The 12,488-nt window shown below is 36.3% G+C and overlaps 1 protein-coding gene across 53 annotated transcripts in view, besides 1 other annotated feature; it reads left to right on the top strand.

The window, feature by feature from the left end:
* Positions 1–12,488, top strand: part of DLG2 (discs large MAGUK scaffold protein 2) — a 2,173,362-nt gene that overhangs the window by 1,461,143 nt on the left and 699,731 nt on the right. For 52 of the 53 annotated variants that reach the window (NR_165353.1, NM_001351274.2, XM_017017256.3 and 49 more), the window contains one exon: positions 3,720–3,770. Coding sequence is in view for 52 of the 53 variants with exons in the window: in NM_001351274.2 (NP_001338203.1) it covers positions 3,720–3,770 (51 nt within the window). In the remaining variant the exon portion in view is untranslated. Of the gene's footprint in view, positions 1–222; positions 276–3,719; positions 3,771–12,488 lie in introns of those variants that run through there. The other variant, XM_017017284.2, reaches the window with a different exon arrangement.
* Positions 9,100–9,746: an enhancer, noted in NCBI's record as "NANOG hESC enhancer chr11:83868528-83869174 (GRCh37/hg19 assembly coordinates)". NCBI's record gives its function as "activates a minimal SCP1, AML or CMV promoter by ChIP-STARR-seq in naive H9 embryonic stem cells {active_cell/tissue: H9 hESC(naive)}" and the evidence as "EXISTENCE:reporter gene assay evidence [ECO:0000049][PMID:30033119]".

The raw sequence follows: 12,488 nt of genomic DNA, 5'->3' as shown, positions 1-12,488 counted from the left end.
TCTGGCCACCAGAGAAATCTACCAGCTGTCACCACAGAACCATAAAGTTCAGAAAAATCAAGTATCTTAAACATGCACACACATTTTTCAAACACTGAAAAGTTTAATCTATTTGACTGACTCTCCAAGTCTATGAAAATGTCAATCCTCTGATTTTTCTAGTTCTCAAAGTAGAGAGGAGGCTGTGACAGTTAGGGCCAGAACTGGAATAACAGAAACCCCAACTGTGAAGCTCTCCGGGCCCCAAACTATCAGTAGCATAAAATATGACCAAGGTACTTAAATATTACCGTAAGTGTTACTGTACAAGAAAAAAAATGTATTCGGCCGAACTCTTTTGAGGAAAAGGAATTGAAAATCATATGTCGATAACCTGATTGGGAATATTATATGAGACACCAAGGCAAGTTCAAACAACAATGGATTGTTTGCAAACCACCCAAAAGATGATGGGAGCCATTTATAACAGTTTTGGTTTTGCTGAGTGAGGATACACAAGATTATGGTTAGGGGTGAATTACTGTAGATACCTCTCAGTGTTTCATCACTCAGTAAGCAACCACTGTAGAGAGTTTATTTAGAAATAAAGTCGAAATAAGTATTTAAATCCTTATTTAATACTGTACTGGTATATTCGTTTGAAAAGGCACCAAATTTTCACAAATTAAGATCGAGGTATTGTTTTTTTCTTTCTTTCTTTCTTTCTTTTCTTTTTTTTTTTTTTTTTTTTGAAGCAGAGTCTTACTCTGTCACCAGGCTGGAGCACAGTGGCACTATCTAGGCTCACTGCAACCTCTGCCTCCCAGGTTCAGGCCATTCCCCTGCCTCAGCCTCCTGAGTAGCTGGGACTACAGGTGCACGCCACCCTGCCCAGATAATTTTTTGTATTTTAGTAGAGACAGGGTTTCACCATGTTGGCCAGGATGTTATCGATCTCCTGACCTCTTGATCCGCCTGCTCCTGCCTCCCAAAGTACTGGAATTACAGGCATGAGCCACTGCGCCCAGCCCTGGGGGGGTATTCTTAGTTCTTTTGTTCTGTCTCATTCTTTCCCTCAAGATATTTGCCATTTCTTGTCTTAGGAGTCCTTTGGCAGAACATAGACCACACTCTCCCTGTAATGAGAGAATAGAGATTAGGGCCTTTCCAATGTCTTTTCTGAACTCTCTCACTGGCTCCTGTGATTCCGTGCTCTAAATGCTCCTCATGTAAAAGGTTGAAATGATGCCTCACCTATGCTAAAAATCCTTCATGCTTCTACGAGTTCACGAAAGCTTGTTGTAGACATGGGATGCTTTGTTGTTGTTGTTGTTGTTTGTTTAGTTTTGTTTTTGAGACGGGATCTCACTCTTTCACCCAGGCTGGAGTGTAGTGGTGCGATCTCGGCTCACTGTAACCTCCATCTCCCCTGTTCAAGCAATTCTTCTGCCTCAGCCTCTGAAGTAGCTGGGACTACAGGCACCTGTCACTATGCCCAGCTAATTTTTGTATTTTTAGTAGAGACGGGGTTTCACCATATTGGCCAGGCTGGTCTCGAACTCCTGATTTTGTGATCTGCCTGCATCAGCCTCCCAAAGTGCTGAGATTACAGGTGTGAACCACCCAGCCGGGATGCTTTGTTTTAAAAGCAAAGTTACATTGCAACCTTGATGGCATCATCTCTCCTGATGAAAAGAACCTGGATACTGTTGAATTAGACAAATGATATTATTTTCTTGAGTTGAAAATGAAAGACCCATGAGGTAAATATAAGCCTGCAATAGTTTATGTAGCTGACTAAGGAACTTTGGAATACCAATTAGGATATGCATATATAATACTTCTAAAAATCTAAGAGTCAGCATTTAGGATCCTAGAAATGTTAAGCGTAGGTTTTGATAGGCCACAACTATGCAGTGTATGCCACTAAAATATTCTTGTCTTTTAAGCACTTCCTAAAAGAATTTCTTTGAGCCTTTAGACATTTATTATTAGAGGCGTGTTTTTCTCTCTTGGAAGTTGTTTTTTTCTCCCCAGTTTGCAGCACTTTAATAATGTGAAGTGATTCAGTTTGGAGAAGCACTGAAGCAAAGAAAAGCCTCATGGAGCCATACTGAGGGAATGAAAATGTATCTCGTTAATTCAGCCTTCCCCTATTGTCCTCTTCCTATCCATCAAAGAAAATTATTTTAAAAATCATTCATATGGAAACATACAAGGAGTTTGAAGTGTGTTTGTGTGTGTGTGTGTCTGTGTGTTTTACTTTTGCATATACAAAACAAAACCCTCTAGAAAGCTGCTAAAGCTTTCTGACATCATCAAGTCCTTTTCTGTGAGTCATTAAGTTGCTGAAGCCTAGAAAATCAAATTTAGTTTAGGGCTGTTTGATAATGTAGTAAAACAGTAAATTGTGATTCACCAATTAGCTCACGTAATTAGAAAATCAAAAACATGCTGTGAGTGGGTGGTGGACACACCTAAGTAAAGTCCATTGTCATTGTCATTCTATATGTTCACTGATTATAACTATAATTACACCTTTAGGTGATGATACTACATTCAATTTTTTGTTACAAAAGAGAATCCACAAATATCTATGTTTATAAATTACACAAGTAAATTAATTACTTAGTTCAGTCACTCATTCATTCACTATCTTTTCCCTCATTATTTTCTTGCCAGGCTCTGTGTTAGGCAACAGGGCTGGCTGTCTGGGCCTTGCCTGCATAGAACTCTCAATCCCTGGTACTGGGTATAAATTCTTCTAAGATAGAAAAGTAAATGTAAGTTAGAATCCTATAAAAAGTATGGCTTTATAGTTAAAATGTAGTCCTTCTGGCTGATTCCTAAATTCCAATGATGTTGCCAAGACACGTATCAGAAATAAGAAACAACCGATTTGAGAATTTTCTTGCTTAGAGGTTTTGCCTGGTTGAGAAGAATTCTGAGATAGATGAAAATGAGAAAGGAATATTTGTTAGATTATTTTAAACCAACTTTTCATATGGCCTCTGTGCACATTTGTGGAAATCTAAGGTGCCTGGCTGTATTTAAAATGTATTTCTCTCTGTAAATTCAAATCAATACAAGGATTGGTTGGATGGTTGAAACAATTCGTCACTAAGCATTTCAAAATGTGTCTTACTTTGCTCATTTCTTACTGCTACTGAGGTACATAGGTATGGTTATATGGTCCAGGGCTTTCCAATAAAGATAATAAAAGGATGATGGGGATGATTTACCTGAGCTTGAGCCACTAAAGAAAAGGTATTTCTCAGATGATGCAGTCATTTTCATGCTATTTTTCTATTCAAAAATGGAACAATGTTGTTCTGCCATTATCACTGATTTTTAAGGTCATATTTTAGTGTTCAAACATAACATTTTTTAAAAAACAAGAAAATTATTTTCCTCATAATTGTATCATTGCCCCTAGATGATTTGTTCTTTGTAAGCTCACAATATGTATTTTGTGTTATTATACCTCACTACAAAAAAATCACAGAATTACTAAGGGAAGCAATAATCTTTGAGTATTTTTTGTAGCATCTCAGTCATATATTTTAGAATAGCATAGATTATGTTTCACTTGAATGAAAATGCACAATCAGAAATATCAAGAAAATGTGGTTATTTATAGCTAGAATGAAAATTTCACCCCCAAGCATTATTTAAAATGCAGCTGTCTCCTCCTCAACATGTATTTAATAGTTCTCTTCTTATTTTTTCCCTATTTACAGGTCAATGGGACAGAAATTGAATATGAATTTGAAGAAATTACACTGGAGAGGGTAAGAAAAAATTTTGAAAAATCCAAAGCCCCAATCTTGCATTTCACATTCTATTCTAATCTTAATGAGTTGTCTTGTGAAATTATACAATTGTGTTTTATAACCTGGAAGTTTCCCACAGGACTCACAATGAGAATATTAATGAAATGCTCACAGTAGAAAGCATTGAGACAGCAGACCAAATAACTGAATGTTTAGTATGTAAATTTCATTGCCAGGATTTGGAGAAATGAATGGAAAAGAGAAATGTTTGATGAGCTTGTACAGCACTTTGTTCTTAATGGTTTTATTATTAGTGTTTTGGCTATACATTATTTAGATATGTTACAAGATGTTTTCATTTGTGTGATATCGATACTATCATCATAATTATAGTTACCATGTGTTTCTTACTTAGTTTAAAAAACAAGTGGTGCATTTTAAAACTACTCCCATAGGAAAAAACACAGCAACCCCATAGAGCTCTGCAAATATGCTGGTAGGGTCCTGGCAAAGTGCTTTGACAAATTAAGGAAACTGTGCAACACAACCCTAATATATGTAGATATTTTACAGAACAATAAGAGAAAGGCCAAAGACCGTGTAGAAAAAAGTGACCAAAAAGCATTAACAGGACATTCATTAAAAAAGAAAAAGCCAATAAACAAATGAAAACCTGTTCAACCTCATTAAGAACAAAGGAAGACAATGAGAGCAAACAAGTTTTGCCTGTCCAATTGACAGAAACTTAAAAGGAATGTGAATATTCAATGCCAGTGAGAGGTTCTGAAAATTAGTACAACCCTACAAGAGCAATTTGGAAACATAGATTAAAAGCCTTTAAAATGAATACACTCTTTGACCCAGAAATTGTACTTACAGTAGCGGACAAATACACGATGAATGTGTGTATTGATATGGTTTATAATAGTGAAGATTGAAAAACATAGGTGTTTAATAATAAACAAAAAAGGATAATGTGTTTATTATGTATTCATGTAATATAAATTATATTAAAATATACTGAAATAATACTTTAGAAAAATATGTAATTGCAAGGATAGAAGGTCTACCTAGATTATATTATTAAATTAAAAATTAAGTTTTAAAATGGTATTTAAAATATAATTCAGTAGACACAAAGCTATATAATATAATATATATACATAAATACACTCATAAAGCCTGGAAAGATGTACACCAAATGTTACACATGTTGGTGGCTAACTCCTGTTAAGGATTTTGGGGTAATGTTTAGTTTATCCTTCTTGCTTATATTTATTTCATAAACCTTCTATGATAAACGCATACCACATTTAGTATAAGAAATAAAAATGTAAATATTTTCACTAAGCTATCATTCAAGTATAAATGAAGATTGTAGACCTGCACTTTAATTTATATCTCGTTTTTAGTTTACTAATTATTCACTTTCCTGAGTCAGAGCATTTCTCATCTTCAGGCTGATTTTTATCAAGTGTGAGTGCTTTTAAACCAAAATATACGTTGAAACTTAAGTGTTTGACAGATGGGTTCTTTAAAACTTCCATTATGGACTTGATAAAATTTTAATGGTATGCTAACTGGAGAAAAGTGAGGCTTATGGAAAATGAGCTCAAATGAGACAAAAAAACACATTTCTCCTGAATCATTAAGTTTCTCTCCAAGACAAGCTATATGATTTATGGAGTGCAGTACAACATGAAAACGTGGGGCCTTTCTAAACACAGGACTCAATGCAACTGAACAGGTCTCATGCCCGTGAAGCTGAGCCTTCTCCTTTTTCCTTATCCAATGTACATCACCATCTTGAATAGAACACTATTTAGTTGCCCTGGTATTGGAGGTCAAAAAATAAAAGCTAACATTGGTATGAGAGAGAACACTCAATAGGAGTCAGACAACTGTGGGTTCTAGTCTGGATTCTGATCTTACTTGTTTCCTGATCTTCAGCATGTCAGTTTACCTTGCTAACTTCCTGCCTTGGGGTTCATGACCATACTCTGAACTTTGTTACTGCCATTAACTGCCCCCTCTCCAAAGCCTCTATGTCAAGCAATATCTTTGTGAACACTTCCTCCCTTCTGTTCATATCATTTATTCTAGTACCTTCTCATTGAAACTTCTTTAGCCCCATTGGAACCTCAGATCATTGATTTCACCATTTCTACCCAGCTTTCACCTTTCTTTATGCCCTCTCTTCCCTCCCCACCTAGCATGTATTACCTGGTCCCTCACTCTAATTCTCCCTCTCATGCACTTTTTTTTCTCTTCTCTAGCTTTTTGTGCTCATCCAGCAAAACCCCAGTCCAAGTTAGCTTACGCTGGTTAAGCCAACACTTTCCTCTTCACTCCATGCCACTGCCTCAGCAACTGGATATGGCTAGAGAAACACTCACTCATCTCACTTTAAATATTTAACCATTGATTTTAAGTGAACTCTCAAGACTTTCTAGCAATTCTTATACACTTCTTTAGAAAAAATCACTTTCTCATACTCTGGGACAACAATTTCATACCTTATCATATCTCCTCAAATCTCAAGCACTCTCTTCTCTCATCTTCTCTTTCAGCTGTTGACCTGCCTTAATATGTTTTTGAGAAAATCCAAGCAATCAAATGAAAACCACATTTTCCTACTACCAGGTCTACTAGTATATTCTCCCATGGCAATGAAGGAAAGTTCCTATTCCATTCTAAGACCAACTTTTTACTTGTTACCTAGACTCCATTACCAGTTATCCATTGAATGATTTTCCTTCTGCAGTTATCTCCTCTCTCTTCTGCAATATCAAGCCCTATCTTGCTTTTTACTGAATAACTTTAACTCAGGCACAGTATATCTTTCATCTTAGAAAAAATAAGTAACCGTCCCCTGACCCTATGTTTTCCTTCCACTATTACCTCATTATTCTATTTTGCTTTACCAAAAATCTAAGAAAATTGTCTATTTTCATTAGCTCCCCCTTATTACCTCATTTTTTAAATTTTAACCTGTTTCATGTTCTCATCCCCACAATAGTCATAAATCCATTTATATCAAAGTCATTACTGGTTCCATCTTGCTAAATTGAAGCATCAGTTCTCAGACCTAACTGACTTCTTAGCAGGATTTGATGCTTCCTCCTTCCTCAAAGATGTCAACATTTTAACTTCCAGGACAAAACACTCTCCTGTTCTTTTACCACCTCAATGGCTGCCCTTTCTCAGCCTCCTTGCTGGCTCCTCCTCTAAAGGTTTCAGCACTCCAGATACCCAGTGTACAGACCTCTTCTCCATCTTTTCTTCATTCCCTAGATGGCCTCATCCAGACTCATGCCCTTAGATACCAACTGTCAACTGATGACTCCCAATTCTGAAGCCATGACATCTCCCTGAATGAGAACTTCAAATGTATATGTCTAACTGTGCAGTTGGCATCTCTGCTGCTTGATTATTAAGAAAGCCCCTTCCCTGCAGTCCCTCTTCTCAGGGCCAAAGTAACTGCTGCCCTAATATTCTTCATATTGACTAATTGGTTCTATCATTTCCCATATTATTTATGCCAGAAAAATAATCTAAAATCTAAAAGTCTTGCTCAATTATTCTTTATCCTCAGCATTCATGAGTAAGTCCTGCTTGTGCTACCATGAAAATATATTACAAAATCAGTCAGATCTTACCACCTGCTCTGCTGAATCCTAATCCAAACCAATTTCATCCCATGCCTCAACAACCATAATAGCTTCCACTTTTACCCTGCTGTTCTCCTCCAAGTAACCCGTTATCTTTTTTCAAAATGTTAATATAAGCCAGATCATACCACTTATATTCTTAAGACCTTCCAAAGGTGATAATTAACTTCATTATCATTACATACAAGGCCTTCTGTAATGTGACACCTGCTCCTCTCTCCAACATTATGTGCTCACCACCAACTCTTCATAAATTTCACTCTAGCCACGGTGACCTTGACGTTTCTCAAACAAGCCAAGCTTTTCCTAACTCAAGCCCTATATGTATGTTATTCTAGCTGCCTGGAAAAATTGTCCGTTATATCTTTACATGGTTTATTCTTTTTATTATTTAAATATCTGCTCAAATATCATCACCTTAGAAAAATCTTCCCTGTTCACTGTAATTAAATTAGTAGCATTTCCATCATTCTTTTTTCCCATTTTATTATTACTTAATTGCACTCACCAGTATCTGAAATGTATATTATTTATTTATAGTTTATTTTGTTAACATCTATTCCTTCCTGTAAATATATGCAGTATATAAATATAAAGTGATTTATATACAATTTTTCTAGAACAACATCTGAAATTTAGTGTATACTCAGGGAGTGGTTGGCATCTAAATGAAGTTGGCCTGGTTGTATTACTGGAAGGACAGTAACATAGACGCACATGGCCTGGTTTGAATCCAGGTTTGAATTCTGGCTCTAGCACTTTCTGGTCAAGTGACCTTGAACTACATACTTAACCTCTCTGTACCTCAGTTGCCACATCTGAAAATGAGGCTAAACTGTTTATAATTACCCCATAAGGCCGTTGTGATGAATACATGAGTTAACGTAAAGGTTTAGAGCAGCATATATAATTATTCTTAATATTTTCTTTGGTTAACATGGTAGTTCTCACAAGAATTATTTATAAATATAATTGAGGAAGTTATTAAAGACATAGCATTCCACTCTCAACAAACAACTTAATCTAACAAGAACTTCTTTTGTTTCTGCTTTTCTTTTCTTTATTAGATGTCAAATACCCAATGACAAATAAGTTATGGTATTTGCCACGTGCATTTACAGCTTATACTTTTGCTATGTTTAACCTCTGTAACGTTTAATTTAAGTAATAATCACATTTAGTAACACTCCTATGAGGTAGATGTTGCTAACTCCATTTTACATATTAGGATACTGAGGCTCAAAGATTAAATCACTTGCCAAAAATCATAGCTTTATAAGAGATAGAGTTAGGATTCAGCCCTATGTCCAACAGATATTAGAATCTGAGCTTATTACCACTGAATTAGACTGCTGTCAAAATTAAGCTTAAATATCATTTCCTCCAAACAGATTTTCTTGACTTTCACTCTTGGGCAATATGCCTCTTTGAAAACAACAACAATAGGCCAGGGGCGGTGGCTCATGCCTGTAATCCCAGCCCTTTGGGAGGCCAAGCTGGGCGGATCACGAGGTCAGGAGATCGAGACCATCCTGGCTAACACGGTGAAACCCCATCTCTACTAAAAATACAAAAATTTAGCTGGACGTCGTGGCAGGCACCTGTAGTCCCAGCTACTCAGGAGGCTGAGGCAGGAGAATGGCATGAACCTGGGAGGCAGAGCTTGCAGTGAGCCAAGATGGTGCCACTGCACTCCAGCCTGGGCAACAGAGTGAGACTCCATCTCAAAAAAAAAACCAAAAAAACAAAACACAAATAGAGAATTTATCACACTAGATGATAAATAAAATCTATTTCTTCCACTGGCCTATGAATTCTATGATGAAAGGAATTTTCTCATAATGTTCTTTATGTTATCATGGTGACATTAAAAGAAAAGAAAAAGCCCTTGGGCAATTTGTAAACAAGTTGACGACTCCTCCTCTACAGTAGCATTGTTTAAAGCATTAACCACTTGCCACACAGAGTGAACTTCATGAATATCTTTTGTACATTTAATTGTCAAGCACTTGTTAAACATAGGTACAGGGCACAGACCTTGTTTCAAAGAATTTTGCAGCCTTGTGGAGGACACAGAAGTAAATGCACAAAAACTATGACGATAAGTAGATTGCTCTCAATATGTGGTCCGCATGAAGTAATTTCCTGAGGCATCATAACTGAGCTGGCTTATGAGAGGTGAGAGGGAACAAGCCATGTAAAAGAGAGTGAAAGCCAGACATAGCAGCTCATGCTTGAGGTCCCAGCTACTCAGGAGGCTGAGGCAGCAGGATCATTTGAACCCAGTAGTCTGAAGCTGCAGAGAACTATGATTGTGCCACTGCATTCCAGTCTGGGCAATAGAATGAGACCCCATCTTTAAAAAATAAAATTTTTTTAAAAAGTAGTGGATGACGGCCTCTCAGATAGGGAGTAGCAGGTGCAAATGTTAATGGGCCCATGGAAAAGTAACATGCTAAATAAAAATTCACAAGTATTATACAAATATATTCATTTATGTATAAATACACACATGCTTGGGTGGTACCTTTGTATTTAATATTTACATTTGCATATATTTCAAATATGCAAAATATACAGTGATGATTGCACATACATAAACTTTGGAGTTCAGTTAAGAAATGTATCTATTACCAAAATTATTTAATTAAACTATAAGATTTTAATACAGTTGACTATATAAAAACTGAAATTCTATCAAATATCTACTCAAACCGTGCCTGTTTTTTTATTCCTGTCACTATTATTAAAAATAGCTAAAGAGACCTAGAAAAAATGAGGAATTTAGAAATTCAAAAGCTTTATATTATTTGAAGTAACAGATCCTTAATTCTATTAGAAATTAGGAATTTTCAAAAAGATCAACAATGTGAGATAAAAGAATTTGGTCTAAATAAATCAGATATCTAATGATTTTCTAGTTATTTTGATATCTGGAGAGCTGGGGAGGCCACTATTAGACAACTTTAATGGGTCTCTTCTTACCTGGCAATTCACTAATACTGTTTTTAAAATTCCCATGTTACATACCTTATATCCTAAACTTGTTTCTTCTGTAGGAATTTGCATGATGCAATAAATCAGTCATTTTTCTTTTCTCTATAAGTCATTTTGTTTTGGCAGAGGTGAAATAATGACTAACAAAAGTCAGTAATTTACATTTCAGGAAATGGTTCAGATTTTTAAATTATTTTATTAGTTGCAAAAAGAATCCCTAACTTGTCAGACAAAACGTTCAAATAGTATCACATGGCCATACATTCTGCAGCTGTTGGGAGAGCACTCCAAATGTTTTTTTCTTCAGTGAGGATGGGAGGAATATGAGAGTCAAATAAGGTAGCTGATAGTCATTTTAGCATCTTTGCAAAACTGTAATCATGCGTGCTGGTCAGGGTTATAAAAGCATCATAAATCTATTATCCATGCTCGGTCAACTAACTACTCTTGATACAAATCATGTTGGGGTTATATAAGCTATTAATTTCATACATGGAAAATGTATAAATTACTCAGAGTACGCAAAGACATGGACTTGACTTAGCTGCATTTGCTAATGTCATAAGAATCCAGGGAGTCAGGAAAGCTTGAGATATCAAAGTTGTCTATGGCTGAGCGGCTCAGATTGTGATAGTAAAAGGAATTTGTGGAATTATACTCTAGGCATCTTTGAATTTTCCCTTCTCTTTTGTATTTTCCTGTCCTGCAAAACACCACATATATTCTTCTATCGTTCCTAGTATATTTTTGAATTATTTCCTCCTCCATCAACTTGGCAGAATTTAGCCATTAATTATTTGTCTTAAATGGCATACCTTCATCCTTTCCCAAATACTATGTATGTGCAATATTGCAGCCAAAGTGATGTATTTAAAACATAAAAATGATTATGTCATTTTTATCCTAAAATTTCTCCAGAGGCTCTTTATTGTCTTTAGGATAAGGTTTAAACTCCTTGGTATATTATTTAAGGCATCCATGGATGTCCTCTTCATCTTGCCAGCCTCATTTCTCCCTTGGAGCCCTAGTTCATATCTTGAAGTGCAGTCATTCTGAACTACTTGCAGTTACAGAAATACATTTATATAATATGTGTGAATTTTAATCAGTGGTTTATTGGTTTTGGTTAAAGGTGTTGGAATAATTTGAGAAGAAAAATAAGCTTATAAAAACAGTGGGGGCTGGTACTTGACTACCAGTGGCCCCATACCCAAGACATCTGCCCACTAATCTGCACCTGGCATTGGGTGTGTATTTCCAGGGGCAGACCCTTTAGATCACCAGGCTTTGGAATTTGCAGCCAGCACTGGTAGGGTCAGCCTGAAGTAACATAGGGGACTAGACGGCTGACTAGATATAGCTGGGAGCACCTCTTGCACTGAAGGAAACCAAAATATCGAGTAAATCATCACACTTCGAATAGATCTTTTGAAATAAAACGTTGAAAGTTTATAGAGAGGTGACATAGAAACCAAAGTAGAAGAGGGGGGAAACTGGGAACCCTGCACAGAGTTGACAAGCTCCAGGGCCAGTTCCTGGCCCTAAATAGGACCTAAAGAAGGGCATACATTGCTGGTGAAACCCAGTGCAGAAATCTAGTCACAAATGAAGAGCCTCAACCCTCTAAAAGCATCCAGAAATGAAGCCAATCAACTATACTCAATATATACCACAATTCAACTCTAAAAGAAATAAAGAATATAAAAATAGGTCCACTTTTTGATGGGGTTGTTTGTTTTTTTCTTGTAAATTTGTATGAGTTCTTTGTAGATTCTGGATATTAGCCCTTTGTCAGATGAGTAGGTTGCAAAAATTTTCTCCCATTCTGTAGGTTGCCTGTGCACTCTGATGGTAGTTTCTTTTGCTGTGCAGAAGCTCTTTAGTTTAATTAGATACCATTTGTCAATTTTGGCTTTTAGACTGGATTAAGAAAATGTGGCACATATACACCATGGAATACTATGCAGCCATCAAAAAGGATGAGTTCATGTCCTTTGTAGGGGCATGGGTGAAGCTGGAAACCATCATTCTCAGTAAACTATCGCAGGGACAAAAAACCAAACACTGC

The sequence above is a fragment of the Homo sapiens genome, chromosome 11 (assembly GCF_000001405.40).
Source record: "Homo sapiens chromosome 11, GRCh38.p14 Primary Assembly".
Taxonomy (NCBI): domain Eukaryota; kingdom Metazoa; phylum Chordata; class Mammalia; order Primates; family Hominidae; genus Homo; species Homo sapiens.
This window is presented reverse-complemented; position numbering and strand designations above follow the sequence as displayed.